The sequence below is a fragment of the Homo sapiens genome, chromosome 2 (assembly GCF_000001405.40).
Source record: "Homo sapiens chromosome 2, GRCh38.p14 Primary Assembly".
Lineage (NCBI taxonomy): Eukaryota > Metazoa > Chordata > Mammalia > Primates > Hominidae > Homo > Homo sapiens.
Genome location: NC_000002.12, coordinates 44,181,746 through 44,209,623, shown reverse-complemented (window position 1 = coordinate 44,209,623; position 27,878 = coordinate 44,181,746). Strand labels below are relative to the sequence as shown.

General features: G+C 38.9%; 1 protein-coding gene across 8 annotated transcripts in view, besides 3 other annotated features; it reads right to left on the bottom strand.

The window, feature by feature from the left end:
• PPM1B (protein phosphatase, Mg2+/Mn2+ dependent 1B) overlaps positions 1-27,878 on the bottom strand; it is a 78,054-nt gene that overhangs the window by 37,305 nt on the left and 12,871 nt on the right. For 5 of the 8 annotated variants that reach the window (XM_011532936.4, NM_177968.4, NM_001033557.3 and 2 more), the window contains exons 2-3: positions 7,579-8,438; positions 297-414 (exon numbers count right to left, since the gene is read on the bottom strand). In XM_011532936.4, the coding sequence (XP_011531238.1) occupies positions 297-414; positions 7,579-8,424 (964 nt within the window). In that variant the 5' untranslated portion in view covers positions 8,425-8,438. Of the gene's footprint in view, positions 1-296; positions 415-7,578; positions 8,439-15,297; positions 16,053-27,878 lie in introns of those variants that run through there. The other 3 variants (XM_047444835.1, XM_047444836.1, NM_177969.4) reach the window with 3 other exon arrangements.
• Positions 20,410-21,302: an enhancer, noted in NCBI's record as "NANOG-H3K27ac-H3K4me1 hESC enhancer chr2:44415461-44416353 (GRCh37/hg19 assembly coordinates)". NCBI's record gives its function as "activates a minimal SCP1, AML or CMV promoter by ChIP-STARR-seq in primed H9 embryonic stem cells {active_cell/tissue: H9 hESC(primed)}" and the evidence as "EXISTENCE:reporter gene assay evidence [ECO:0000049][PMID:30033119]".
• Positions 25,222-25,321: an enhancer, noted in NCBI's record as "active region_15684". NCBI's record gives its function as "activates an Ori minimal core promoter by ATAC-STARR-seq in GM12878 lymphoblastoid cells {active_cell/tissue: GM12878}" and the evidence as "EXISTENCE:reporter gene assay evidence [ECO:0000049][PMID:35858748]".
• Positions 26,040-26,334: a silencer, noted in NCBI's record as "tiled region #13633; HepG2 Repressive non-DNase unmatched - State 15:Elon". NCBI's record gives its function as "represses a minimal TATA promoter and a strong SV40 promoter by Sharpr-MPRA in HepG2 cells {active_cell/tissue: HepG2}" and the evidence as "EXISTENCE:reporter gene assay evidence [ECO:0000049][PMID:27701403]".

Genomic DNA, 27,878 nt, shown 5'->3' with positions numbered 1-27,878 from the left:
CTGTATTTTTAGCAGAGACGGGGTTTCACCGTGTAGCCAGGATGGTGTCGATCTGACCTCATGATCTGCCCGCCTCAGCCTGCCAAAGTGCTGGGATTACAGGTGTGAGCCACTGCGCCTGACCAGGAAATTTTAAAATAATCATTTGATAAACAAAAAGAATACTTTCCCTCTCTAAATTTTTTTTTTTTTGAGACAGAGCCTTGGTGTGTCGCCCAGGCGACAAAAGTGCTAGGATTACAGGCATGAGCTACCGTGCCTGGCCTGTCTATATTTTTAAAAAGCATTTGTCTTACCTTCAACCCGTGATTCCAAGTGCTTATCCAACTCTGAATCTTTTTTCACCGCTTCATCTGAGACCTTGGGAGCATTTGAAAAGCAAACTAGTACAATACTCATGTTATCTCGACTTCCCTGTGTATTAAAGAAAAAAAAGAAAAAAAATTGTATTTCTACAATCAACTATTATTTACTTCAAAATACTTTAAGCAATTATAGTTTATTTAATCATCCAGAACGTTTATGTTTAACACATTCATTTTTATTCCAATGAATTACTAAAAACACAACTTGAAGAAACAAGGTGTCTAGGTATGGGTATATCTGTAAGCATTTCTGTATTTTTAATTCTGGTGAACTATTATTACCCACAGCCATTCCAGTCTGAGAAATGAAGATATCTTCAATACATATTAAATCTTCTAAACTATTTCCCACTCAAGATTGTCTATTCCCAAACTGGCTTAAGTCCACAATGGATCCTCCCAAACACATATGCAAATGTTTTCCAGCTTAGCTTTTAAACTGCCTCAGAGCAATGCTACGACTCCATGAATTTAACATAGCTGAAAATTGTTATTCGGCAGAATACCCAAAATACTAAACTAAACAATTATTATTATTACTATTTGAGACAAAGTTTCGCTCTTGTTGCCCAGGCTGGAGCACAATGGCGCAATCTTGGCTCACTGCAACCTCCGCCTCCCAGGTTCAAGCAATTCTCCTGCCTCAGCCTCCTGAGTAGCTGGCATTACAGGTGACGGCCACCAGGCCCGGCTAATTTTTTTATATTTAGTAGAGATGGGGTTTCACCATGTTGACCAGGCTGGTCTTGAACTTCTGACCTCAGGTGATCCACCCACCTCAGCCTCCCAAAGTGCTGGGATTATAGGCATGAGCCACCGCGCCCAGCCCCACAACTATTAATACAAGAAACTATTCAGAGGGCACAGTAACAGGGGGGACTGTAACTGGACAACTGAGATCCAACTGTAGTCATGTGATAACTTTTAAAAGAAAAGACATCAGATTGCTATATAGTCGCAAGTAGTTTCAGAATCTTTATAAAGTGGCTAAAATAGCTAATTTAAGGACATATTTTATTTCTCCCTTTTAACCACACCATCACAAATTACCTATGTTAAAAAGGAAGCATACACTGGGCACGGTGGCTCACGCCTGTAATCCCAGCACTTTGGGAGGCTGAGGAGGGCAGATCACAAGGTGAGGGGTTCAAGACCAGCCTGACTAACATGGTGAAACCCCATCTCTACACAAATATACAAAAATTATCCAGGCGTGGTGGCGCGCACCTGTAATACCAGCTACTCAGGAGGCTGAGGCAGGAGAATCACTTGAACCCGGGAGGTGGAGGTTGCAGTGAGCTGAGATTGCACCACTGTACTCCAGCCTGGGCAACAGAGTGAGACTGTCTCCAAAAAAAAAAAAAAAAAAAGCATAAAGCCAGGCACTGTGACTCATGGCTATAATCCCAGCACTTCGGGAGGCCTCGGTGAGCAGACTATTTTAGCCCAAGAGTTCCAGACCAGCCTGGGCATCATGGCAAAACCTTGTCTCTTCAAAAAACACAAAAATTAACTGGGCTTAGTGGCACACACCTGTAGTCCCAGGTCCCAGCTACTCGGGAGGCTAAGGTGGAAGGATCGCTTAAGCCTGGGAAGTGGAGATTGCAGTGAGCCGTGATGACACCACTGCACTCTAGCCTGGGCAACAGAGCAAGACTCTCTCTCAAAAAAAAAAAAAGCATATCATATATACTACTCTAGTACCATGAGATTATGTGCAATCAATTAAAAATACGTTCTCATTACTTTTTCTAAAGGTATATTACTTTAACTGAGTTTCTAAGAGCAGGAGCAGATGAAACTGTTCTTGGAATAACGATTTTTTTCAAACTTTCTTTTTCTGTTCACTCTAAAAAACAAAGTCAGTGGAGGTGGTAGGCTATTTTGTCTGATAGTGTTTGCCAAATTTGCCAACTCAAGTGAAAGAAACCAAGACCACACCCTTTCTAGTCTTTTCAGTTATTATGACTAGAATCTAGGCAGGCATGGCTCGGTTCAGACTTATGCCTTTCAGAACCTACATGACACAGCCCAAAAGACAGGTGGCCTTGAATAACTTCTGCCTTCACCTCCTAATTCAATGGGAGTAAAGTTTGAAGGCAGTGAAGGTTGGGTCTTCAGAAGACTTCAAAATAAATTAACTTGTCACAGATTGTTGTGCTTTGGAACAAGGAACCAACTTGAGTATTTCATTAGATTCCCGGTTATCTGGAAAAACCATTTCCAAATTGGCCAAATTAATTCATTCCTTAATGAAACCCACCAAAACTTTTATATTAGAAATACTGTATGTGTTTGGTTATATGAATATACTTGTATAAATGTCATAAGGGCAGTTCAAGCAAAAATTTTTAATTAAAAATAATTTTAAAGTACACCATGGATATTCAAGAATCAAACAGCTGGGCATGGTGGCTGCCTGTAATCCCCGCAGTTTGGGAGGCTGAGGCAGGAGGATCATTTAAGGCCAGGAGTTTGAGACTAGCCCGGGCAACACAGTGAGACACCCTTTCTAAAACACAACAACAAAAAAAGAATCAAGCATAATTACACTTTATAAAGCAATTTTATGCATAAACGGAATTAACACCTTACACTTTTAGAAATCTAATTTCTTTTAACCCTTTTGAGTTTTTGGTAACAACAACATGAGCATTGTGGAACATTTCCTTATCTAATTTCCATTCGATTTTTGTAAGTTATAAAATATAAATACTTTTGGAAAATTAATTGAAAGAGAGTTCCAATAAATTTATGGTTCTCCAAAGACATTTAAGGGAAATAATTTATATTTACATCTCAGGCATGTGTGATTTCAGTGATGTTGCTTCTTAGCCACCTTGCCTGGCTTGCTTCTATTTCTATGTAAAGATGGCTTTCCCCTAAACACCAAGTATGAATATGTTTCAGTAGCTGTTATACAGCAACAGAAAAGGTCCTTTCCTTTGTGCCATTGTTTTTTAGAGACAAAACATCCTTGTATAATCAGTATAAAGTTTTCACTAAGTCCATAAATAAAACATTTTTTTTTCTAAATCCAGTTTGGATAACTAAAGAAATTAGCTCTGCATATAAAAATTGATTATTACATGTTCTTTTTACTTTTTACAACAGCACAGCAGTTAACACTCTTAATAATCATAGTACCAGATCAAAGACGCCAGTGCCCCTGCCATAAATAAGGGCATCTAAACTTAAACAGAAAACAATCTGATACAGTTTTTTGTTTGTTTTTGTTTTTTTGACACGGAGTCTCACTCTGTCGCCCAGGCTGGAGTGCAATGGCGCGATCTCAGCTCACTGCAACCTCTGCATCCCAGGTTCAAGCAATTCTCCTGAGTTTAGAACTAAACAATTATTGAGGGGGTTACATTTTCTATGTTATATAAATTAATATAGAATGATGTTGCCTTTGGAAAATGATAATTTCCCTCAATTTTATCCAACTATGAGGTACTATCTCATGTTTTAAAATAAATAGGCTTCTGGTAGATGGTATATAAATGAAATTTTGGAAAATCAAATAATGTTTTAAAAGAACAATTTAAAAGAATACCGACTTTTATAATTTAAGAAAAACAAAACAGGTGACAAAGTAACAAACATAGCATGATCTTTTTCTATAAAATACAAAAAAAGAAAAAATCCTATTTTACGTTTATACATTTCTATCAATAATCACAGAGAACCATTTGGAAAGATATACAGCAAACCATGAGCAGTGGTTCCCTAAGTGAGATGAGACTGGAAAGCAGAAACATCAAGGGGAATCACTTTACTTCAAACATCTCTGTATTTGTTACAAAAAAAATTTAGTCTTAATGTTTCCCTTGGGGAAAAATTTCTCAGACCATGAAAACCGAAACAGACAGACACTTACACACACACACACACACACACACACCCACACCCACACCCACACCCACTCTTCTTTATTTTATCAGGCCCTTCTGGGAAATATTGTTAACAAAAATACTAAACTTGAGTCAGAAAACTAGTCTCAGCCTCAATACTCACCAAGTATATGACTTATGGATATCTTTTAATATCAAACAACCTCCATTTCCTTACTTGCAAATTAAAAAAACTTTTTATTTTGTTCACCTCAGAAAGTTACTATGAGGATTAATAAGTATGTATCATTTACAAGTTATGAAAAGCTATGCACGTGGCAGTTACATATTTTAAGCAACCCGAAATTAGTTGGCAGTAAACACCATAAATGCCAGCATTGCAAATAAAATGGGAGGGTTGCTTTCTTAGCTCCCATTCTCCCCTCGAGTTAAATACCTAATTTAAATAGGATAATACCTGACCACAGTCATACAACACTTACAGATTAATATTAACTGGCAACCCTGAAAAATGCTTATCTTTTTTTTTTTTTTTTTTTTTTTTTTGAGACGGAGTCTCGCTCTGTCACCCAGACTGGAGTGCAGTGGCGTGATCTCGGCTCACTGCAAGCTCTGCCTCCCGGGTTCAAGTCATTCTCCTGCCTCAGCCTCCTGAGTAGCTGGGACTACAAGCGCCCACCACAACGCCCGGCCGATTTTTTCTATTTTTTAATAGAGACGGGGTTTCACTGCGTTAGCCAGGATGGTCTCGATCTCCTGACCTCGTCATCTTAACTACCTCATATGGTTGTGAAAATTACATGAGTTAAAATATGTAAAGTATTTAGAATAGTGTTTGGCTTACAGAAAGCAATAATTTACTAATACTACCACGATTATGATTATGATAACCTCCCAAGATTTAATGAGTTAAGATAAAAGTGCTTATAAATTATGAAAGTATGACAAGTGATGGAGGTGTTAGAAAAAACTAGGACTTCATTTAAATCTCTTATCAGGGAAACATCTACTTATTAATGTTTCCTCTCCTCTTACAGCAGGTAACTACTGTGCAATCGCTAAGTGCTTTCCATGAATTTTTAACTTACAATTTTTCTGAGTAAATTCAAAGTAATTATATTTGATCTTATTGCTAACCCTTGCTTTTACAATACAAATAAATGGAAAGACAAAATTACGAAGTTAAACAGAAATGAAGGTTTCCATAAGTAACTTTCAAAGGTTCAAAAATAATTTTAAGTCTGTTTTGTTTCAATTCAAACCTCCAAACTGATTTCAATTTGAATGCAGCTCCATTAGAAGGAACTATGATGGTCAGCTTCCATTAACATTGAATGAATCATGGGCCCCAACTTCTTGTCTGTTATTATCATTCCTCATTTCTGAGATTCTAGGATGCCATCTAGAATCTTTTAACACCATCAACATGAACATTTAATCACTCTAAATTGATAAAAGCTAGCAAGTGAAGATATACCACCAGAAATATTTAAACCTCATTCAGAAGGGTCGAGTCAAAATTCTCAAAAACTAGCATCCTTTCAATGGATAAGTGAGTTAATCTACTAACACAAACTTCTTTCCTTAGTCCAAATTACAGACCTAATAGATTTTTTGGCTATTCCCTCACAACCTCATTCTTTCAATAAAATACTACGCAGCCAAGAAAAATGATACAGATCAATACTTATAGGCATGGAGATCTCTCTACAATATATTGTTGGAAAAGGCAGGCTGTAGAATAACAAGTATAATCATCTCGGTTTTATAAAAATACACACACTCACAGGCAGGCAGAAAAGACTGGAACAATATACACCACAACAATGAAAGTAGCTGACTTAGGGTGGATGGCAAAATTTTGGGTGTTTCTCTATATTTTCTTCATCATCTGGATTTTTTTTCCAATAGTAAGTATATACCTTTTTTTTATAATTGGGGAAAATGCTGTTTTCATTAGCTAGTCAGGCAACAAACATATGCCTATGCTTGTCTCAAAAATCTACAGGTCAGAATTGCTTCATTTAGAGTTCAAAGACAAATACATAATTTTAGACCCACTTACTATTTGATCACTGACAACCATCAATACTTCTTTACTTAACTCATCCAGAAGTAAAAAGATACAGTGTGTTAAAAATAAAAATCAGAGGAGCTAGAGGTACCATCATTAAAATCCTTTCAGAAAAAGGCTGTCCACTGACAAGAACGGCCTTTAAATCTTCTGTTTTTAAAACTGCCTCTTTCCATTCTATTAAAAAGAAATCGGTATTTAACCAAAATCTGGGCATTTCCAGAGACCCAGAGATCCTTTCTGAAAAACTTTCTGGTTATGCCCATACCTTCCACAGTACATTTTGGAGTAGGGAGATACAGTGGTTCTAATCTAGACAGAATAAATAAGTCAAACCCTTTATTTATTTCATGTAACTAAAGGTCAGTTTTACCTTGGTATCTTTTCAGTCAAATACTTACACACTCCAGACACTGGCCAGATAACTCAAATTTTAATTGAATTATATATAGATGCTGTCAAAAACCCACTTGAAACAACTGAGTATTTTAAAGATATTCAAAGGATTGCCAATTATCTATTACTCTGGACTTTTTTTCTATTACTGTATCAAGCAATGATTCATACAAAATTACAAATCTAAATAAACTTTAGTGTTCCACAGGAATTTTTCACAAGATTATGTTTTATAGAAGCCTTTGGTTTTTAATCAGAAATAATAAAAACATCTATATGAAAAGAATTTTATCTTCTACAAAAGATACTATCCAAGTCATGTATTACTTAGAGAGCCACATGTAAATCCTTTTTAGATTGTATTGCCAGATAAGAGCTGCTTTTAGAAGACAATGAGAAATATACAACCCATATTTTTATTTCAGTTTTTGTCTTCACTGCTAGGAGGCTCAGGACTAAATTTTATACAGGCTAGGCATCTAGTACATCTTCCAATATTTCACATGGCTCTTGATCTTTTAGTAATATCTAGTACAGAATTCTACTATATACATATTTTATCAAGCTGCTTCATAATCAGGCATAAGATGGTTACTGCCAATGTCAAGAAAAAGTCACTCTGTGTAAATGCTTTTGCTACAGCAACAAGCTATGAAGTACTTAAATGACAACAAATGCCTCAAATTTATCAAGCTTAATTTTCAAATTAGAAGGCTGGGACAAACAAGGATGGCAAAGAAAACAATGGTTTCATTTCTGGTAAAGTACTTCAAAATATACAGCTTCTGTGAAAATATTAAAAGTTTTAAAATTTTAAGTTAGCTTAACTTTACCTACCGTAACTTTTCAAAATTAACATGTTATTTTAATGACAAAAAAGTTTACATACCTTGTGTAAACAAGTGTCCACTACCCAATTGCACACATTTTCCAGGTCATCAGATACCTCAAGCCTAGATTTAACATATTCACAGAGCTCCTCATTACTCATAACATCCCAGATCCCATCACAAGCCAAGATGATAAATTCATCCTCTTCTGCTCTTAAAATTTCATAAACCTCAGGCTCTGGAGAAACAAGTTGTTCTGTTGGGCCCTTGCCATCAACACACTTGTAATCATAGTCCCCCAGAGCACGAGATACTGCTAATGAACCATTAACACGTTGTATCATCACGCTGCCTCCTGCATTTTGGATTCGCTCCTTTTCCCTTGGATTGCAAGGTTTGTGATCCTGGGTAGAAAAGCAGACTTGTCCATTCCTATACAGAACAGCACGTGAATCACCACAGTTGATAAAGTAGATATGCTTAGGTGAAATCATAACTCCCACTGCAGTTGAACCACTCCTGTCCATCCCGTTTCTGAGGTCTGAAAAGTTACGCATGTATTCATCAATTTTCAAAAATCCAGTTCTGATACCATTCTTAACATTTTCCACTGAAAGCTCAAGAGCAGATCCTGATTTTCCAGCTGCCCTAAAGTCTTCGTTAGTAGTGATGTGTTCTAATAAATGTGTTGAGCAGTAATTTGCCACTCGGGATCCAGCATGACCATCATAAACTGCAAAAAATGACCAGTCTTCCAAGCCGTGAGGAATACCTACAACAGCTGTGTGTGCATCTTCCATTTCCACTCTCCATCCTTGCATGCTGCTCAGGCCATAACGTAAACCATTCCCAGCACCATGAGCATTATGTTTTTCAGTTTTGGGTTTATCCAAAAATGCACCCATGTTTAGCAATAAATCTGAAATAAAAAATGCAGGTGTTAAATGTTTAAATTTGACAGAAAATGTATGTACAATATTCCCTCTATAGTCTAGTAACTCCTACCTCAAGTATTTTTTTTAGTATTATCCTAATTTACGGGAGCAACAACAAAAGCCCAAGAAATTTCCTCCCCTACATCCTACAGAACAGTGGTTTCTCAGCCCTAGCGCGTAAGAATAATCAGACCAATTAAATCAGAATCCCTAGGGATGGGACACAGATATCATCTTTTAAAAGCCTCTCTGGTGACTTGTATGTGCAGCCACGTTGAGACCACTGTTCTAGGAGAAAGGAAAAAACAAGAAATAAAACTTCATTAATAATTTCATTCTGATTTAATTTACAAGGTGAGTCTAGGGTTCGACATGTAAGTTTACAGAAGACTGGACAATGAGAATATTCAAAACAGTGAGTCATCTTGTTCAATAAATCAAGGTAGGAAGGTATACTAATATACTTTAGAAGACTTTCAAAAGCAAGTATTGAAATCAAGATTTCTCCTCCCAGTGAACCTAAAGACAACCCCAAAATTCAATTAAAACATAAAAATCTCCATTCTACACACATTTGGTTTTATCACTTTTACTATATATCTATAAAACTGAAAACCTTATCATTACTTTGATTCTGTTAAAAACATACCTTTAACATGGTGCTAAAAAATGGACTTCACTTTGCTGAACTTAAAATCCATGAAGTAGCTACCCAGTGTTGACTGACAAAGACTTAAAATCCTTAGAATTGGAAAGTACTACTATGCATCACCCTCTCCCCGCCTACCCAACTTTACTATTTTATAGAATAAAGCTTTCCCAATTTCAAATGACTTAGATTAGACTTAGAGTAATGGTTCCCAAAAGTATGCAAAAGAATTCTCTGGTATGTTTTCTACATACAATGCTAACCCTACACTCTAACTAGGTGACCTTGGGCAAATTTCTTAGTCACCTGTACCTATACCTCATAGGGCTGCTGTGAAGAATGAGTCAATGTAAAGTGCTTAAAACAGCACTTAAAACACAATAAACACCATAAAATGTTTGCTGTTATATCTGCTCAAAATGCAGACTCCATAGCCCTATTCCCACACCTAAGGATTTTTTTCAATAGATCTTAGATGGAATCATCAAAAAAGCATGCTGGTGATTTAAAGTTTTGAGAGACACTGGTCTAGATCAATTTACCTCCATTTGGGTCTACGTATCTTTGTGAGATTTTTTCCAGGTATGATCATTATTGAACTTTACAATAAAATTACATATCGCCATTTAAAAAAATCTGATGAACCACTCGATATATATATGTAAATATTTATAAGTTACATACCAGTTTTATAATTTTCCTGGGTTATATGTGATACTGTATTAATAAATTACAAATGTATTTATAGAAAAAGAGTCCTGAAAGGATAAGATTAAAATCATGTAAAAATTATTTTTCATTCTATCAGTAGAATGTCATATTTTGTACTGAGAGCAATGTAACAGAATATGCTTGATTACTTTTGAACATGCTGGTTTAATTCTCTGTGATACAATGATTTTAAAGCCTAGTTCTAAGTACATTTTTATATGCTTGCTTGTATAGGCTATTTCATCTGAAAGGCAACTTTAAAAGATACTTAAATGCAAATGAAACAGAATTGTTGGCTGTATTTACTAAATCACTTTTCTTTCTTTTTTGGGGGGTGAGGGGATACAGTCTCACTCTGTTGAATGGTGCCATCTCACTGTAACCTCTGCCTCCCAGGTTCACAAGCCATTCTCCTGCTTCAGCCACCCAAGTAGCTGGGACTACAGGCACGTGCCACCATACCTGGCTCAATTTTTTTTTTTTTTATTTTTATTTTTTTTTTTTTTGAGATCTACAGGCACGTGCCACCACACCCGGCTCTTTTTTTTTTTTGAGATGGAATCTCGCTTTATCGCCCAGGCTGGAGTGCAACGGCACAATCTCGGCTCACTGCAACCTCCGCCTCCCAGGTTCACACCACTCTCCTGCCTCAGCCTCCCGGGTAGCTGGGGTTACAGGCACGCGCCACCATACCCAGCTAATTTTTTGTATTTTTAGTAGAGATGGGGTTTCACTATGTTGGCCAGATTGGTCTTGAACTCCTGACCTTGTGATCTGCCCACCTCGGCCTCCCAAAGTGCTAGGATCACAGGCATGAGCCACCACGCCCGGCCATGACCATTTCTTCCTAGTAGCCATATATGGGATACTTGTGATTGTAATGAAATTTTCAACTGCAAAATACGTAGTGAAAAAACTGCTTAAACTAATTCATTCTCCCTTTATTCCCTAGTAATTACAAATGCCAGACACTACCTGCACTTTTACCAGCCCTATGACCAAAAGTAAGAATCTTCAACAGTCTTAAGAGCATGATGGGGCAGACTGCACATAGGTCTGGTCCGAAACCAAGCCCCTGCAGAGACAACCAGGGAAGTAATCTGAGAGAGTTAATGGCCCTCGTACCTCTTATTATTTCGTTTCATTTTTGTAACAGAGGCACATTATGTTACGCTTTTATCTTATTTGAGGGACCAAGGAACAAGCAAATACTTCTGTAGTGCCTGTTCTGTGGTAGGCTCTGTCTTAAATGCTTCACAAACATTAACTTATTTAAATTCTACTCTTTAGAAAAACAAATATCAAAAAAGCAAACAATTATCAGGGAAACCTTTAATAAAAAATCTTCAGGCTGGGTGCGGTGGCTCATGCCTGTAATCCCAACACTTTGGGAGGCTGAGGCGGGCGGATCACTTGAGGCAAAGAGTTTGAGACCAGCCTGGTCAACATGGTGAAACCTCGTCTCTATTAAAAATACAAAAATTGGCCGGGCATGGTGGTGGGTGCCTGTGATCCCAGCTACTCGGGGGGCTGAGACAGGAGAATTGCTTGAACCTGGGAGGCAGAGGTTGTGGTGAGCCGGGATCGTGCCACTGTACTCTAGCCTGGGCAACAGAGCAAGACTCCGTCTCAAAAACAAACAAACAAAAAATCATAAAACTTCAAGAAAAGACGACCAAATACTTCAAAATTCTCCTCCTTACTGCACTTGGCACACTTTTTTAGAGGGGGCACATGGACATTGGCAAGCGTGGCTTAAGAACAGCACAATCTGTCAATCCCATCTGCTTCCTATCAAAGAAAATGCGGTGGTGTTAGGGATGCTTCAGGCTCATGGATAAAATTTTTCCCAAAGGTTTCTGAAGGCTAGTAAGTTGCTCTTTCGACTAGAAAAGTAACATAAATAGCGATAACAATGCCTCATTTTTTAATGAGTTCTATATGTCAGGCACTACACTAAGATACTGATATACACTATATCATTTAATTCTAATAACAACTTAGTAAGGTTAGCACTATTTATATTCTCATTTTACCTTGAGAAAACTGGGATACCTAGGGTATCCAGACAACACAACTAAGTGGCTAATCAGAAATCGAACCTATTAAGACTAGCCTAAATCTTGCATTCTCAAACTCTGGGCTTCAGTGGCTAATGTATCGCAAGCTTTTTTCTTCCTTTTAAAAAATAAATAATAGTTATATAAATGTTCAGGGGCTCAAAAGGCAACTCAATGTCATATCCCTGACTGGATACTGACACAGATAAACAGAATTACTAGAAAAACTGGTGAAATCCAAAGACTAGAGTTTAGTTAACAGAAGAGTAATGTTAGTTTTTTTTAGTTTTTGATAAACGCACTACAGTAAATGCAAAAAGTTAACATTAGTGGCCAAGTGTGGTAGCTCATGCCTGTAATCTCAACACTTTGGGAGGCCAAGGTAGGAGAATCACTTGGGCCCAGGAGTTCGAGATCAGCCTGGACAACATAATGAGACTCCATTTCTACAAAAAATTAAAAATTAGCCAGACATGGTGGCGCACGGCTGTAGCCTGGGTTACTCAGGAGGCTGGGGTGGGAGATCTCCTGAGCCTGGGAGGTTGAGGCTGCAGTGAGCCCTGATTATACCACTGCACTCCAGTGGTATGACAGGTGACACAGCAAGACCCTGTCTCAAAAAAAAAGTTAACGTTAGTGGAAACTGGGTAGGGGGTAGATGGGGAAGACTCTGTACTACCTTTGCAAACTTTTCTGTAAATCTGAAATTATTTCAACATTAAAAGTTTATTTAAAAAATGAAAACTAAAAGGTAAGCCTCAGTTAAGTCATTCCAAGTACAGTGTAGTACAAGCAAGGTAGACTGGCTATGGAAAATCTCTCCACCTGTGATTTTGCCAAACATGCTAAGGTGGCTTAGAAATGTATCCTAAAAATACCAAGATTATATAATAATTGGAAATTCCGATCCAGTGATTCTATTTCTGAGATGTTATAACCACTCTTGGTCTATGACAGATCATTTTCTTTTTTAATGGATAAACAATCTGAGCAACAAAATAACGTAATATTGGATTATAACCCATAGTACAAACATTCATGAGTCTTTGCTGATAAAAATAAAGGACTGAATACGTAAATGAATGGGGATACCAGACAAACCTTTAATGCAGAAGAATGCCAGACAGTTTATGTAGATCTTCCACCTTCAAATAGGTCAAGCACAACTTCCCACCCCATAAGGGTGGATTGGGCAGTTATTTTCTTTTCAAAAAGTACAAAATGAAAACGAGGGAGAGAATAACTCTACAGTGGAGAAATCTGACAAACACTACCTCAGCCAGGTAATCAAACTTGACATCAACGGTTTATATTCTTGGCATAATCTAATGAGAAAGGCACTTTACCTCAGTGGTCTTCCTCCAAAACAAAATCCATAATAACCCCAGTCTAATCATAAGAAAAGCATTAGAGAAACTCCAATAGAAGGATATCCTACAAAATATCTGACCAGTACTCCTCAAAATTTTCAAGGCGATAAAAAACAAGGAAAGCCTGAGAAACTGCCACAGCCAACAGGGGCCTAAGGAGACATGATGACTAAATGTAACGTGGTACATCCTTAATGGGATCTTGGATAGAAAAAGGACATTAGGTTAAAACTAAGAAAATGCAAATAAAGAATGGGCTTTATGGGCTTTAGTTAACAATGTATCAGTATTGGCTCATTAATTGTAAGGGTTCAAGTGGACAGTTCTCACTTGGGTTTTCTCATATTACTGCATACAAATACTGGCTGGGGAGAAGGTCACCTGAAAGCTCACTTAACATGATAGGCAGCTGATGAGGGATGCTGGCTAGGAATTTAGCTGAGACTGTCCCAAGGAGTATCTTCTGTATGTGGCCTCTCCAGTTTGAGGATTTCAACACGGTCAGGCTTCTTACATGTCACCTGGTTTCCCAGGCAGAGCTACATGGTATTTTCTGACCCACCCTCAGAAGTCACTTCTGCTGCATTATTGGTTACAAGAAAGTCACTAAGTCTTGTTCAGATTGAAGACAAAGGAACGTAGACCCCACCACTCAAAGGAGAAGATTACTAAATAGGTTGCAGACATGTATTTTTTATTTTTAGAGACAGGATCTTGCTCTGTCACCCATGTTGGAGTGCAGTGGTACAATCATAGCCCACTGCAGCCTTGAACTCCTGGCGTCCAGCAATCCTCCCACATCAAAAGTGCTGGAATTACAGGTGTGAGCCACCACACCTGGCCTGTTTGGTAGTTTTAATACATGTCTGGGCTGGGCATGGTGGCTCATGCCTGGAATCCAAGCACTTTGGGACGCCTAGCTGGGAGGATCACTGGAGGCCAGGAGTTCAAGACCGCCTGGGCAACATAGCAAGACCCTATCTCTACCAAAAAAAATTGGGGAAAAATATTAGCCTAGCATGGTGGCGTATGCCTGCAGCACCAGCTACTTGGGAGGCTGAGGCAGGAGGATCACTTGAGCCCAAGAGATTGAGGCTGTAGTGAACTATGATCATGCCACTATACTCTAGCCTGAGCGACACAGTGAGTCCCTGTCTCTTGAAAAAAAAAAAAAGAAAGAAAGAAAAGGCCAGGTGGGGTGGCTCACGCCTGTAATCCCAGCACTTTGGGAGGCCGAGACGGGCAGATCACCTGAGGTCAGGAGTTTGAGATCAGCCTGGCCAATATGGTGAAACCCTGTCTCTACTAAAAATACAAAAATTAGCCCTGGTGTGGTGGCAAGCGCCTGTCATCCCAGCTACTTAGGAGGCTGAAGCAGGAAGATCACTTGAACCTGAGAGGTGGAGGCTGCAGTGATTGCGCCACCGCACTCCAGCCTGGGTGACAGAGTAAGATTCCGTCTCAAAAAAAAAAAAAAAAAAGCAAAAGACTGGAGGTCTATCTTGCAAAGAGTGAACTATAGAGACTCTGGGTTTAGAGACAGCAGATTTAGCTGAGGACCAGAGCAAGAAGCCTTACAGAAAACCAGTGATATAAACTATAAATTTGCATAATGAATGCTGATATGCTCAGCCTGCTCAGCCTTCTTCTTTTTTTTGAGATGGAGTCTTCCTCTGTCGCCCAGGCTGGAGTGCAGTAGCGCGATCTCGGCTCACTGCAAGCTCCGCCTCCCAGGTTCACACCATTCTCCTGCCTCAGCCTCCCAAGTAGCTGGGACTACAGGCGCCCGCCACCACGCCTGGCTAATTTTTTCTATTTTTAGTAGAGACGGGGTTTCACCGTGTTAGCTAGGAAGGTCTCGATCTCCTGACATCGTGATCCGCCCGCCTCGGCCTCCCAAAGTGCTGGGATTACAGGCATGAGCCAACACGCCCGGCCTGCTCAGCCTTCTTTACCAACTCCCAGAAATCAAGGAAACCACAAGCAGGCAACAGCTCTATTGCTCTCTGAGGAAATTCACTAGTCCCAGAGAAAGTACCCACAGATTACTTACACACAGGAATACTCCATAAAATGCTTGGTCTCCACAATCATCCCACAGCGAGGCCTATCAAATGACATCCCTGTCAAGGCTGTCAGGGTTACACTTAAATATGAGGAGCTATCCAAAGATTACCAGATACTGAAAGGAAACATACAACATGAAAAGCAAAATAAATCAAACAAAGAAAAAGGAATCAGAAGGAAAAAACCATGCAAGGACTAGGGAAAAAAAAATCCTTAAGAGAAATAAAAAAGTATTCTATTCATGAACCAAAAAGATATTAAAAACAAACAAACAAACAAACAAATAAACAAAACCAGGCTGGGTGATGCAGTAGTTCATGCCTGCAACCCCAGGGCTTTGGGAGTTCAAGGTAGGAGGATTGCTTGAGGCCAGTAGCTCGAGACCAGCCTGGACAACAAAGTGAGACTCTGTCTCTATAAAAAAAAATTTTTTATGCTGGGCACAGTGGCTCACGCCTGTAATCCCAGCACTGTGGGAGGCCGAGGCGGGTGGATCACCTTACGTCAGGAGTTCGAGACCAGCCTGGCCAACACGGTAAAACCCCATCTCTACTAAAATTACAAAAATTAGCCGGGCATGGTGGCACGTGCCTGTAATCCCAGCTACTGGGGGGCTGAAGCAGCAGGATCACTTGAACCTGAGAGACAGAGGTTACAGTGAGCTGAGATCGTAGCACTGCACTCCAGCCTGGGCAATGGAGCGAGACTCTGTCTCTCAAAAAAAAAAAAAAAAAAAAGAAAAAAAATTTTAATTAGCTGGGTACAGTAGCAAGCACATGTAGTCCTAGCTACTAGGGAAGCTACAGCGGGAGGACTGCCTTAGCCCAGGAGTTCAAGACTGTAGTGATGGGCCACTGTACTTCAGCCTGGGTAACAGAGTGACAACATGTCTCTAAAAAAATTTTTTTCAAAATAAAAAAATTCAGAGGAAAGAAAAGTGCTTTTTGAAATTAAAATGGCATACAAATGGCCAATAGATATGTGAAAAAATGCTCAACCTCACTAATCATCAGGGAAATGCAAATTAAAGGCACAATGACATATCATCTCACACCTGTCAGAATGGCTATTAGGAAAAGATAACAGGTATTGGTAAGGATATGGAGAAAAGTGAACCTTTGTACACTGATGGTGGTTATGTAAATTATTACAGTAATTCTGGACAACTATCTATTCCTCAAAAAACTAAAACCAGAATTACCATATGATCCAGCAATCCCACTTCTGGGTATATAACCCTAAGGAACTGAATTCAGTATGTGGAAGAAGTATCGGCACTCCCATGTTCACTGTGGCATTATTTACCAAAACCAAGTTATGCAATCAACCTAAGTGTCCATCAATGAATGAATGGATAAAGAAAATGTGGTGTATATATACACAATGGAATACTGTTCAGCCTTAAAAAAAGAAGGAAATTCTGTCATTTACAACAACATGGATGAACCTGGAGGATATTATGCTAAGTAAAAGAAGCCAGGAATAGAAAGACAAATATTGTATATTCTCACTTGCATGTGACATCTAAAACAATCAAACTCATAGAAGCAGAGAGTAGAATGGTAGTTACCAGAGGCTGGGAGGGTGGTGCAAAATGGGGAGATGTTGGTCAAAGGATAGAAAGTTGTGGTTAGACAGGTGAAATAAATAATAATTATGTAAGGTGATAGATATGTTCATTAGCTTGATTCAATCATTTTACACTGCATACATATGTTATAACATCATTTTATACCTAATACATATGTAAGATTATAATGTCAAGTTAAAGAAAACATTTTAAAAATAAAAATGACAGGCCAGGCACAGTGACTCACACCTGTAATCCCAGTACTTTGGGAGGCCGAGGCAGGCAAATCACCTGAGGTCAGGAGTTTGAGACCACCCTGGCCAACATGGCGAAACCCCATCTCTACTGAAAATACAAAAATTAGCCGGGCATGGTTTGTGGGCTGTAATCCCAGCTACTCGGGAGGCTGAGACAGGAAAATCGCTTGAATCCAGGAGATGGAGGTTGCAGTGAGCCGAGATCGTGCCACTGCACTCCAGCCTGGGCGACAGAGCGAAACTCCATCTCAATACAATACAATACAATACAATACAATACAATACAATACAATACCATAACATAACATAACATAACATAAAATAAAAATAATTAAAATGACAGAAAATTGTCAATAAAAGTTTAGAAAATCAAACTGAAAAAAAAAAAATCAAAAGTAAAATCCCCCAGACCCCTCCCCTTCACAAAAACCAAACAGACTCAAAGTAGTAAAGAATAAAACTAAGAAAGCTGCAGGATCAGTCCTGAAACTAACAGCTATTAGAGAAAGAACAAGAAAAGGAAAGAGAACTAAACACCCTAAGTGTCAGGACTGAAAGTAGAACCAACCACACACACATACAGAGACACAAAAAGCAACTGAAATTTCAAAACACTGGTGATAAAGATAAAACCTAACATTTCCCAGAGGGAAAAAAGGGGAAAAAATAAGTCACACATAAAGAATTAGGAACCCAAACAGCATGAGAAATCTCCAGAGTGATATTTGGTAGAATAAAAATGCATATAATTTCCTGGAGAATTGTTGGTTATAGAGTATCCACCCAGAGAAATTTTCACATATATACAAGCAGAAGCATACAATAATGCTGATACAATGTAAATCTCTACAGAATTTAAAAGTATAGACTACATTAACTTGTATCACCATGAGTAAATCAAAACAAAGTAGCTGGAAAATGATACATACAGTGTGATGCCATTATGCAAAGTTATAAAACTTACAAAGCAGAAGCTGGGAGCGGTGGCTCACGCCTGTAATCCCAGCACTTTGGGAGGCTGAGGCAGGCGAATCATAAGGTCAGGAGTTCGACACCAGCCTGGCCAACATGGTGAAACCCCATCTCTACTAAAAATAGAAAAAAATTAACCAGGCATAGTGGCGGGCACCTGTAATCTCAGCTGTTCGGCAGGCTGAGGCAGGAGAATAGCTTGAACCTGGGATGCAGAGGTTGCAGTGAGCCGAGATCACTCCACTGCACTCCAGCCTGGGCAACAGAACGAGACTCCGTGTCAAAAAAACAAAAACAAAAACAAATAAAATTTACAAAGCAACAGATTAGTTTACATACATGAATATGTGGCAAAAGTATTTAAAAACATGCTTGAGTTGTATAAACACTAAAACTACTAAGACCAACTTGATAGTACTTACTTCTAGGGAAATAGTGAAGTGGCAATATTTAAAGTTGGTTAACATGCCTCTGAGATCAATTTGAAGCAAACAGCAAAATGTTAATGTCTGTTAAATCTTAGTGATGAGAACATGGATCCTTATGTTAAGAAGCAAAAATGTTCATGCTGCAAGACTATTCAAATAAGCTGCACACACTGATATAACAACAGTTCATGTCTCAGTAAAATCTTATTTCAACACAATAATTGTACAATTTATTTTATTATTAAATGGTCATTAAATACCCATTTCCTTGATAAATATTACAGTAAAACTTAGTCAACAAAAATATGGGTACTTGCGCTGTTCAATTTATGGAGTGTGAAAATGCAATGTAAACACATATGTAGAACAGAAACTGTTTAGCCAAAATAAATGTCACTTCTGTTTTAACAGACGCCTGGTCTAACGCTTACAAATAAAAGATCAACTCATTTAAATGTATCTGCCTACTAAATTTTTTTAGAGTTCTTTAAAATTACTTTCAAAAGAAATGGAAAAAAATGCCTTAAAAAGTAAGAACAAGCAAAGGGGAGAAAAGCTTCAAAAAGTGATACAGGAAAAAAAGACATGAGAGTAAGTTTCAATATTTTCTCAAAATCAAATATACTTGGCCAGGCACAGTGGCTCACGCCTGTAATCCCAACACTTTGGGAGGCTGAGACGGGCAGATCACGTGACTTCAAGAGTTTGAGACCAGCCTGGCCAACATGGTGAAACTCCATCTCTACTAAAAATACACAAAAAAACTAGCTGGATGTGGTGGCGGGCACCTATAGTCCCAGCTACTCGAGAGGCTGAGGCAGGAGACTTGCTTGAACCTGGGGGCAGAGGTTGCAGTGAGCTGAGATTGGGCCATTGCACTCCAGCCTGGGCAACAGGGCAAGACGGTCTCAAAAAAAAAAAAAAAAAAAATCAAATAAACTCAAATTTCTCTACTAGTATCAAATAATGATCTGTCCACTCTACTAGTATCAAATAATGATCTGTCCACAATGCCCAATGGTAGCTTAATCTTTTGTGAAATATTTTTGTAATGAAAACATTCACATTCACACGATATAATCCACATGATAAAAGTGTTTCTAGTTCAAGACAGGTGGAACAAAGCCATTTATCTCTAATCCCTCCCAACATGCCATCAAAATGTTAGTAAAGGAAAAATTTTAAAAAGGTGTAAAACACGAAGCAATGAAAAATTAAGAGCAGGAAATGGGGGCAAGAGGTATGCCATCAATGGGTAGAGATATCAAAAGCCTTTGGAAGCCATAAAGCAGATAGAAGCAGTGATTAATAAAAAACAATGGGCAGGCTACAGTGGCTCATGCCTGTAATCCCAGCACTTTGGGAGGCCAAGGCAGGTGGATAAACTGAGGTCAGGAGTTCGAGACCAGCCTGGCCAACATGGCGAAACCCCATCTCTACTAAAAATACAAAAAATTAGCCAGGCGTGGTGGCAGGCACCTGTAATCCCAGCTACTTGGGAGGCTGAGGCAGGAGAATTGCTTGAACCTGGCAGGCAGAGGTTGCAGTGAGCTGAGATCGCGCCATTGCACTCCAGCCTGGCAACAGAGGCTCTCGAAAATCAATAAATAAATAAAAATAAAAAAGAATGGAAGGACCAGCAGCTTAGCAAGTTAGAACTGCGGAGGGAATCCTAGACAGTTTGAGAACTCATAGTACGTTCACAGATGTAGTAAAATAGGATCATGCCTGCAAGTAAGAATGAGGGTGAAACTAAGTTATAGAGAACCATCGACCCCAGTCTCCTCTCATACAGACAAAAAGCAGAAGTGTTCTGTCTTTTCTCAAGAAACTTAAGATGAATTCTCTATTCATATTTAAGGATAAGTATAAACAGCTAAGGATAATGAGGCATGTGAAGAAACAAAGGCAGCTGGCTGGGCATGGTGGCTCACACCTGTAATCCCACCACTTTGGGAGGCTGAAGTAGGTGGACTACTTGAGCCCAGGAGTTCAAGACCAGCCTGGGCAATATGGTGAAACCTCATCTCCATAAAAAATACAAAAAGATTAGCCAGGTGTGGTGGCGGCATGCCTGTAGTCCCAGCTACCCGGGAGACTGAAGTGGGAAGATTACCTTAGCCCAGAAGATCAAGGCTGAAGTGCTTGGGGGAAAAACAACAACAACAAAAAACCCAAATTGGCACCTCCCCTCTCTATCTTGCTTCCTCTGTTGCTATGTGATCCCAGTAAAAGAAAGAAAAGAGCGGGAGGGGGAGGAGGTAGGGGGAGGGGGAGGGGAGTGGGAAGGGGAGGGAAGGAGGGAAGGAAGGAAGGAAGGAAAGAAGGAAGGAAGGAAGGAAGGAAAGAAGGAAGGAAGGAAGGAAGGAAAGCAGGCAGGCAGGCAGGCAAACTGGGCATAGTGGCTCATGCCTGTAATCCTAGCACTTTGGAAGGCTGAGGCAGGAGGATCACTTGAGGCCAGGAGTTGAAGACCAGCCCAGGGAACACAGCAAGTCCCAACTCTACGAAAGATTAAAAAATTAACCAGTCATGCTGGCGCGTGCCTGTGATCCCAGCCAATTCAGGAGGCTGAGATGGGTGGACTGCTTAAGCCTGGGAGGTTGAGGCTGCAGTGAGCCATGATCGTACTGTTGTATTCCAGCCTGAGCAACAAAGCAAGACCCTGTCTCAAAAAAAAAAAAAAAAAAAAGAAAGAAAGAAAGAAACTCAGCAGCACTAAAGCCATGATAAACACTGGGAGAAGAGAAGGAAAAAACTAAATCAAAGAAGACTTCTTCTTTTAAATCAGAAATCAGAATCCTCAGATTCAAAAAGATACTTCATCTGGCTTCCATAGAATAACAGGATGTTAACAAATGGAACATAGTACAAAAAAACTGCTTTTCAGATTTAAACATGACTGCCTCAATCCATCCCCCTTCTTAAAAACAAACAAACAAACAAAACCCAAAAATTCTTGATGGTTTTTGAAAGTTAAAGTAAGCCAAAGCAATCTCCTGGACTGTGTATCAAATTAAAAAATTTAAAGGTGAAGGCTGGGTGCGGTGTCTCACGCCTGTAATCCTAGCACCTTGGGAGGCCGAGGTGGGCAGATGGCGAGGTCAGGAGATTGAGACCATCCTGGCTAACATGGTGAAACCCCGTCTCTAATAAAAATACAAAAAGTTAGCCGGGCATGGTGGCGGGCACCTGTAAGTCCCAGCTACTAGGGAGGATGAGGCAGGAGAATGGCGTGAACCCGGGAGGCGGAGCTTGCAGTCAGCCAAGATCGCACCACTGCACTCCAGCCTGGGCGACAGAGCAAGACTCCATTTCAAAAAAAAAGTAAAGGTGAACATCACAGAGGTTCAATCCAGGAAATGCAATGCTGGACCAAATATTCCAGAAATTGAGAAGAAATGAAATTATCAAAGAAACAATAAAACAAAAATAATTTTTCAGAGCTGAGGGAAGATACAAATACTCAGACTCAAAGCCTACTGCTTGGCGGAGAGGCAGAGTAGGGGAGAGATCCCATGTTTAGACAGATCATTATGGACTTTCAGATGGCCAAGAATTAAAAGAAACTTAAAAGCTTTTGGAAGCAGTATGGCGCTTCTTCAAAAAATTATAAATAAAACAACCATATGATCCAGCAATGCCACTTCTGTGTATGTATCCAAAAAAATGACAGTGGGATCTCAAAGAGACATTTCTATTTGTACACCCATGATCGTAGTACCCATATTATGCATAACAGCCAAGAGGTAGAAGCAACCCAAATGTCCAATGACAAACGAATGGATAAACAAAATGTAGTATATACACAGAATGAATTATTCTTCAGCCTTAAAAAAAGTGAAGCAAATACCGTCACATGCTACAACATGGACAACATGTCAGTCACAAAAAGACAAATACTACATGATTCCACTTACATGGGGTATCTAAAACAGTCAAATTCATAGAAAAAGAAAGCAGAGTGATAGTTACCATGGACTGGAGGTAGAAGGGGAAAGGGGAAGCTGTTGTTTAATGGGCATAGAGTTTCAGTTTTGCAAGATGAAAAAGTTCTGGAGATTTGTTGCACAATAATGTGAATATACTTAACACTACTGCAGTGTATGCTTATTTTTCTTTTTTGCAGCAACCATGGCCTGATAGGAACTGTACACTTAAAAATGGTTAAGATGGTTATGTTGTATTATGTGCTTTTTGTACTACAATTAAATTTTATTTAAGCTTTTGGGGGTAAGAGTAGAGCTAGAAAGTCATCTACACAAAAAGAAGAATCCAAATAGCACGAGACTTCTCATCAACAAAACTAGACCACAGAAAATTCCTTTGACATTCCATAGCAGAAAATCAAATGATAATGTCTAAATGAAAAATCATTAAATAGTTGTATAAACCTTTTAGTTAAAAATCAGGCCAGGCACAATGGCTCACGCCAATAATCCCAGCAGTTTGGGAGGCTCAGGCGGGTGGATTGCCTGAGTCCAGCAGTTTGAGACCAGCCTGGGCAACATAGTGAGACCCTGTCTCTATAAAAAAAAAAACTTCAAAAATTAACTGGGCACGGTGGTGTGCGCCTGTAGCCCCAGCTACCTGGGAGGCTGAGGCGGGAGGATTGCTTGAGCCCAGGAGGTGGAGGGTGCAGTGAGCTGAGATGATATGACTGCGTTCCAGCCTCGATGACAGAGCAAGACCCTGTCTCAAAAGAAAAAAAGCTTGTACACATGAAATATTTAAAATAATGTGCTTCTATCTTCAAAATTTAACTGATGCCACATATACTCCAAAGTGTTACCAAGAAATATTTCTATGATATAGCCAAGTACTCTTCACTTCCAGCCTGTTCCTAGACAATGTGTAGATTAATGGCTTTCATTATTATAAAACATTGCTAAAATAAATGATAGTAGTAATAAAATCTAATAACCAGCTTAAGTTCAAAGAGATGCTTGAAAAGTCACATACTAATAACACCATTCCAGGACCTTACAGAACATACTCATTCACAAACACCTGCATCAAATCCTATACTGCTTGAATGAGAAGCAAAAGAAAAACAACTCCACCCATCAGTAAACTCACAGAAACAGAACATGTAGCTCACATCCTTTCTTCCAATTCTTAGTATCATCAGAATTAAATTATTTAAGTCCTCCCCTCTTCCAAATCAATTCTGATGAACTGTAGTATCAGTGGCATTCACTTCAGATTTTCAAAATCATAACTGACATTCAAAAGGGCTTGAATAATTGTTTAAGAGATATTTTACAGTTTTCATTATAATTGCTGAATAACATTGGCATTGACCACACCCAGGTCCAATGGCAAGGAGATGTTACTGATAAAAATAGGCTAGTCACTTTCAATAATTCTCCAAAAGCTGGAAACTATAGCTCTACATTAGAGCAAGATTATGAAAACAAATTTATTCAGTAAATCAGATTCTCTGAAATCATAAGTGAGAGACCCCAGATACAAGAATAATTTAGATTTTCTTGTCCTAAATCAAAAGCTCAGCTAGAAATTTCAAACTCAGGACAACAGTGTAACTTACCCCTCTCCAAGCCTTTCAACAAGAAAAATATAGTTCATAAAATGGAAATAGCTTTGTTGACAGTGGTATTTTGCTTTAGTCGCAAATTTAATCTGAGAAAAAAAATCTATCACACTGAATACATACAGTGTGCTCTAAAAACCAAACTACATGCAGACCTATGAAAAGTATTTATTCAGGCTATATCAAAAACAGAAAATTACCACTTAATCAACTTTAAAGTAGCAGTTCTCAACATAGGGCAAGGTATCATACAAGAGGAATTAATTTAACGTCACTTGTCATGCTTTTCCAAATTCTACAAGACACAACTATAGGCAGGAACTTAGATGAATCTCATTAACAATGCTGAAAGAAACTAGAAATCAAAGAGTATACAATGTATGATTCCATTTAAATGAAATGTAAAAACAGGCAAAACAGTTTAGAAGCCAGGTAAGCATAAAATGTATACAATAATTAGGATTACTATAAAACCCAATAATATTAAAGTCATTATCAAAATATTTTTTAAAACTTGGCATAGTAATACATGTCTTCTTCACTAACACAACAGTATCTAGTGGCCGGTCTAATAAGTGTCATAATTCTGAAGTAGTGGTGAGTTTAATAATATTTTAAGATACCTGCAACAACTATAAAGTGATATAGAAATATCTGACTTCTAAAGAAGACAAGTAAAAAAGTATTGCTATACTACATTGATAATTGAAGAAAATGTTAAAATTCAGTTAGAGATTAGTGAAAATAAAAACATGATTCTCCTGAATTTTACTGATAGATCCCTATGTGGGTCTGTGGGCTCCAGCTTAAGAATCCCTGATTTAGTCTGTGCCAACAGCAACTTAGGGGAGAAGAAGGGAGGCATAATCTATCAAGTAGTCAGTTTTGAACATGTTCAGTTAGAGATGTCTATTATATGTCCAGTGGAGATACTGCAGGAAGGTGGATCTAGAAATAAAGCATTCAGGAGTGGGATCAAGAATGAAGACATAAATTCGGGGGCATTTATATGATAATTAAATCTCCACTTAAACCCCTTGAGAACAGAGTAAATATAATTTAAAAAGAGAAGACACTAAAGAACTAAGTTCTTGAGCACTCCAACATTTAAAGGTCAAGAGACGAAAAAAAATGCAGTAAAAATTACTGAGAATCAGCAACCAGAGTTGTGGGAGGAAAACCAACAGTGTGGTACCCCTGACAACAAAGAAAAATGTGCTTACAGAGGAGGAAGTGATAAACTGCGTCAAATGCTGCTAACAGGTCAATGTCCTATCAAAAAGAACAACCACTGGATACCTATTAGAGCAGCAGACATTTTCTGTGTGCTAAGAATTGTTTCAACGTATTTACAGGCATGAACTCATTTAATCCTCACAATAATCCTATGAGGAAGGTACTATTATAATCACTACATTACAAATAAGGAAACATACAATGAGGTTAAGAACTTGCCAAAGACACACAACTATCAAGTGGTAAAACTAAGAACTAGGCCAGGCACAGTGGCTCACGCCTGTAATCCCAGCACTTTGGGAGGCCGAGGCGGGCGGATCACGAGGTCAGGAGATCGAGACCATACTGGCTAACACGGTGAAACCCCATCTCTAATAAAGACACAAAAAATTAGCCAGGGACGGTGGCGGATGCCTGTAGTCCCAGCTACTCTGGAGGCTGAGGCAGGAGAATGGTGTGAACCCGGAAGGCGGAGCTTGCAGTGAGCCGAGATCGCGCCACTGCACTCCAGCCTGGGCGACTGAGCGAGACTCTGTCTTGAAAAAAAGAAGAAAAAAAAACTAAGATACCAAATCATGCAGTCCAATTCCAAAGCCAAATCTCATCCTCAGGCTCAAAGTTGGGTCAAAAAGCTCTCTGGCTAATTCTCTCCCTTCCTCCTGGGGCTCACTGGTATGCCCTTCAATGTACTTATGTAATAAAGAAGCTGAAGCTTTAGGCTTTACTGGGTGGTGATGAGGAGGCAGGCCTTTTGGCTTCCTCTGGTTTTAGGTCATTCAGGCCTACCTAACAACTTATGTAAACCTTATCCCAGTATCCAGCTGTACTTGATTCTGGAGACTGACTCTCCATCCAGTTAAATGCCTATTATTCTGTCTTACTTATCCTACTCTGTGCAGATATTTGTTTCCAAAACCACACGGGAAGAATGTTCAAGGCAAAATGTGGATATTCCTCATCTAAATGGTCTGATTTCATCGAATGTCACTTGGCAAGTAATACAACACAGTAGTTAAGAACATGCACATGGGACAGTCTAAGATGGTAGTGGTGGTCACAGCAGAGGTTTTTAATATCCTCCCCCAGACAAAGCAATCCAACAACAAAGGTATTATTCCCCCATAAACTACAAACTGTTATAAGACCCAAGTGGTATTAGCATTTGTGCAAAAGGAAGCAAAAGGAAAACAGGCTTCTGAAGATCCTGAGATGAGAGAAACTCCAACATCACCAATAGCTACTCACTGAAAAGTGTGACAGGATAATCTAGTAACAGCTAAAACTGAAAGGGAATTCTGCAAGACCCAACTGCTGGGGTCATGCAAAGGGACCAATATACAACAAGATCTGATAGTGCTGGAGCAATCTAGATCCCATAAACTCTGAAATAAATGCTCCCTTGTTAGACGAAGCTCTACACTAAAGAAAAACTGCTAAGAAGAAAATCTAAATTACAAAAAAATCCACACATACCCTACCTTCCTAAAAGTTCAGGAAAACATCACGGTCCAATTCTACACAAAGTAATTATAAGAAAGAAAAAAAGTATGAAAAATAAAGCCCCTAGAGTCAAAGAAAGCATAACTAGGAAAAAGTGCCTACTAAACAGAGGAAACCTGTAACCTATTATTTCAAAACAAACTAAAGAGAAAAGTAAAAAAAGAAAAGCAAATCACAATTAGAAAACTTAAATATTAGGTAATCAAGAACAAAGTAATTATAAATTACTAGTATTGGCCAGGCACTGTGGTTCACTCCTGTAATCCCAGTACTTTGGGAGGCCGAGGCAGGTGGATCACCTGAGGTGGGGAGTTTGAGACCAGCCTGACCAACATGGAGAAACCCCATCTCTACTAAAAATACAAAAAATTAGCCAGGCATGGTGGTGCATGCCTGTAATCCCAGCTACTCAGGAGGCTGAGGCAGGAGAATCACTTGAACCCAGGAGGCGGAGGTGGCGATGAGCCAAGATCATGTCATTGCACTCCAGCCTGGGCAACAAGAGCAAAACTCTGTGTCAAAAAAATAAATAAATAAAAATTAAGAAAAAAAAGAAATTACTAGTATTTCCCATATGTCTGGAGTATCGTCCATAGAGAATGTTTCTCACGATATAACATACAGCCATTTCAGAACCCAAAACACCAATATTCCTGACCAAACAGCTCAAACACTGATGTCCTGTGTGGTAGAATTAGCCAACTATCAGTCGTAAGAAGAAGCTTCTCAAAATAAGGTACTTTGTGGCATTTCAAACTATTGGTAACGCCTCGATTCTGGAAACTCTTAACAGTTGTGTTGACTTTCAAAACACTCTCAAATCAAAAAAACTTTATTCTTTTTTCTTTATTCTTTATTCTTTTTTCTGTACCCTCTGAAAAAGGGAAGTGGGGTCCCAAGATAATAATTAACCTTCAACCCAAAACACAGTATCTGCCCTCTGATGCAATCTCATGGCTTAAGCTATGTCTACACTGACTTCAGATGAATTTTAGTCTAGATTTTAAACACAAAGCTTGGTTATGCTACATCTCTCTTCAAATATAACAT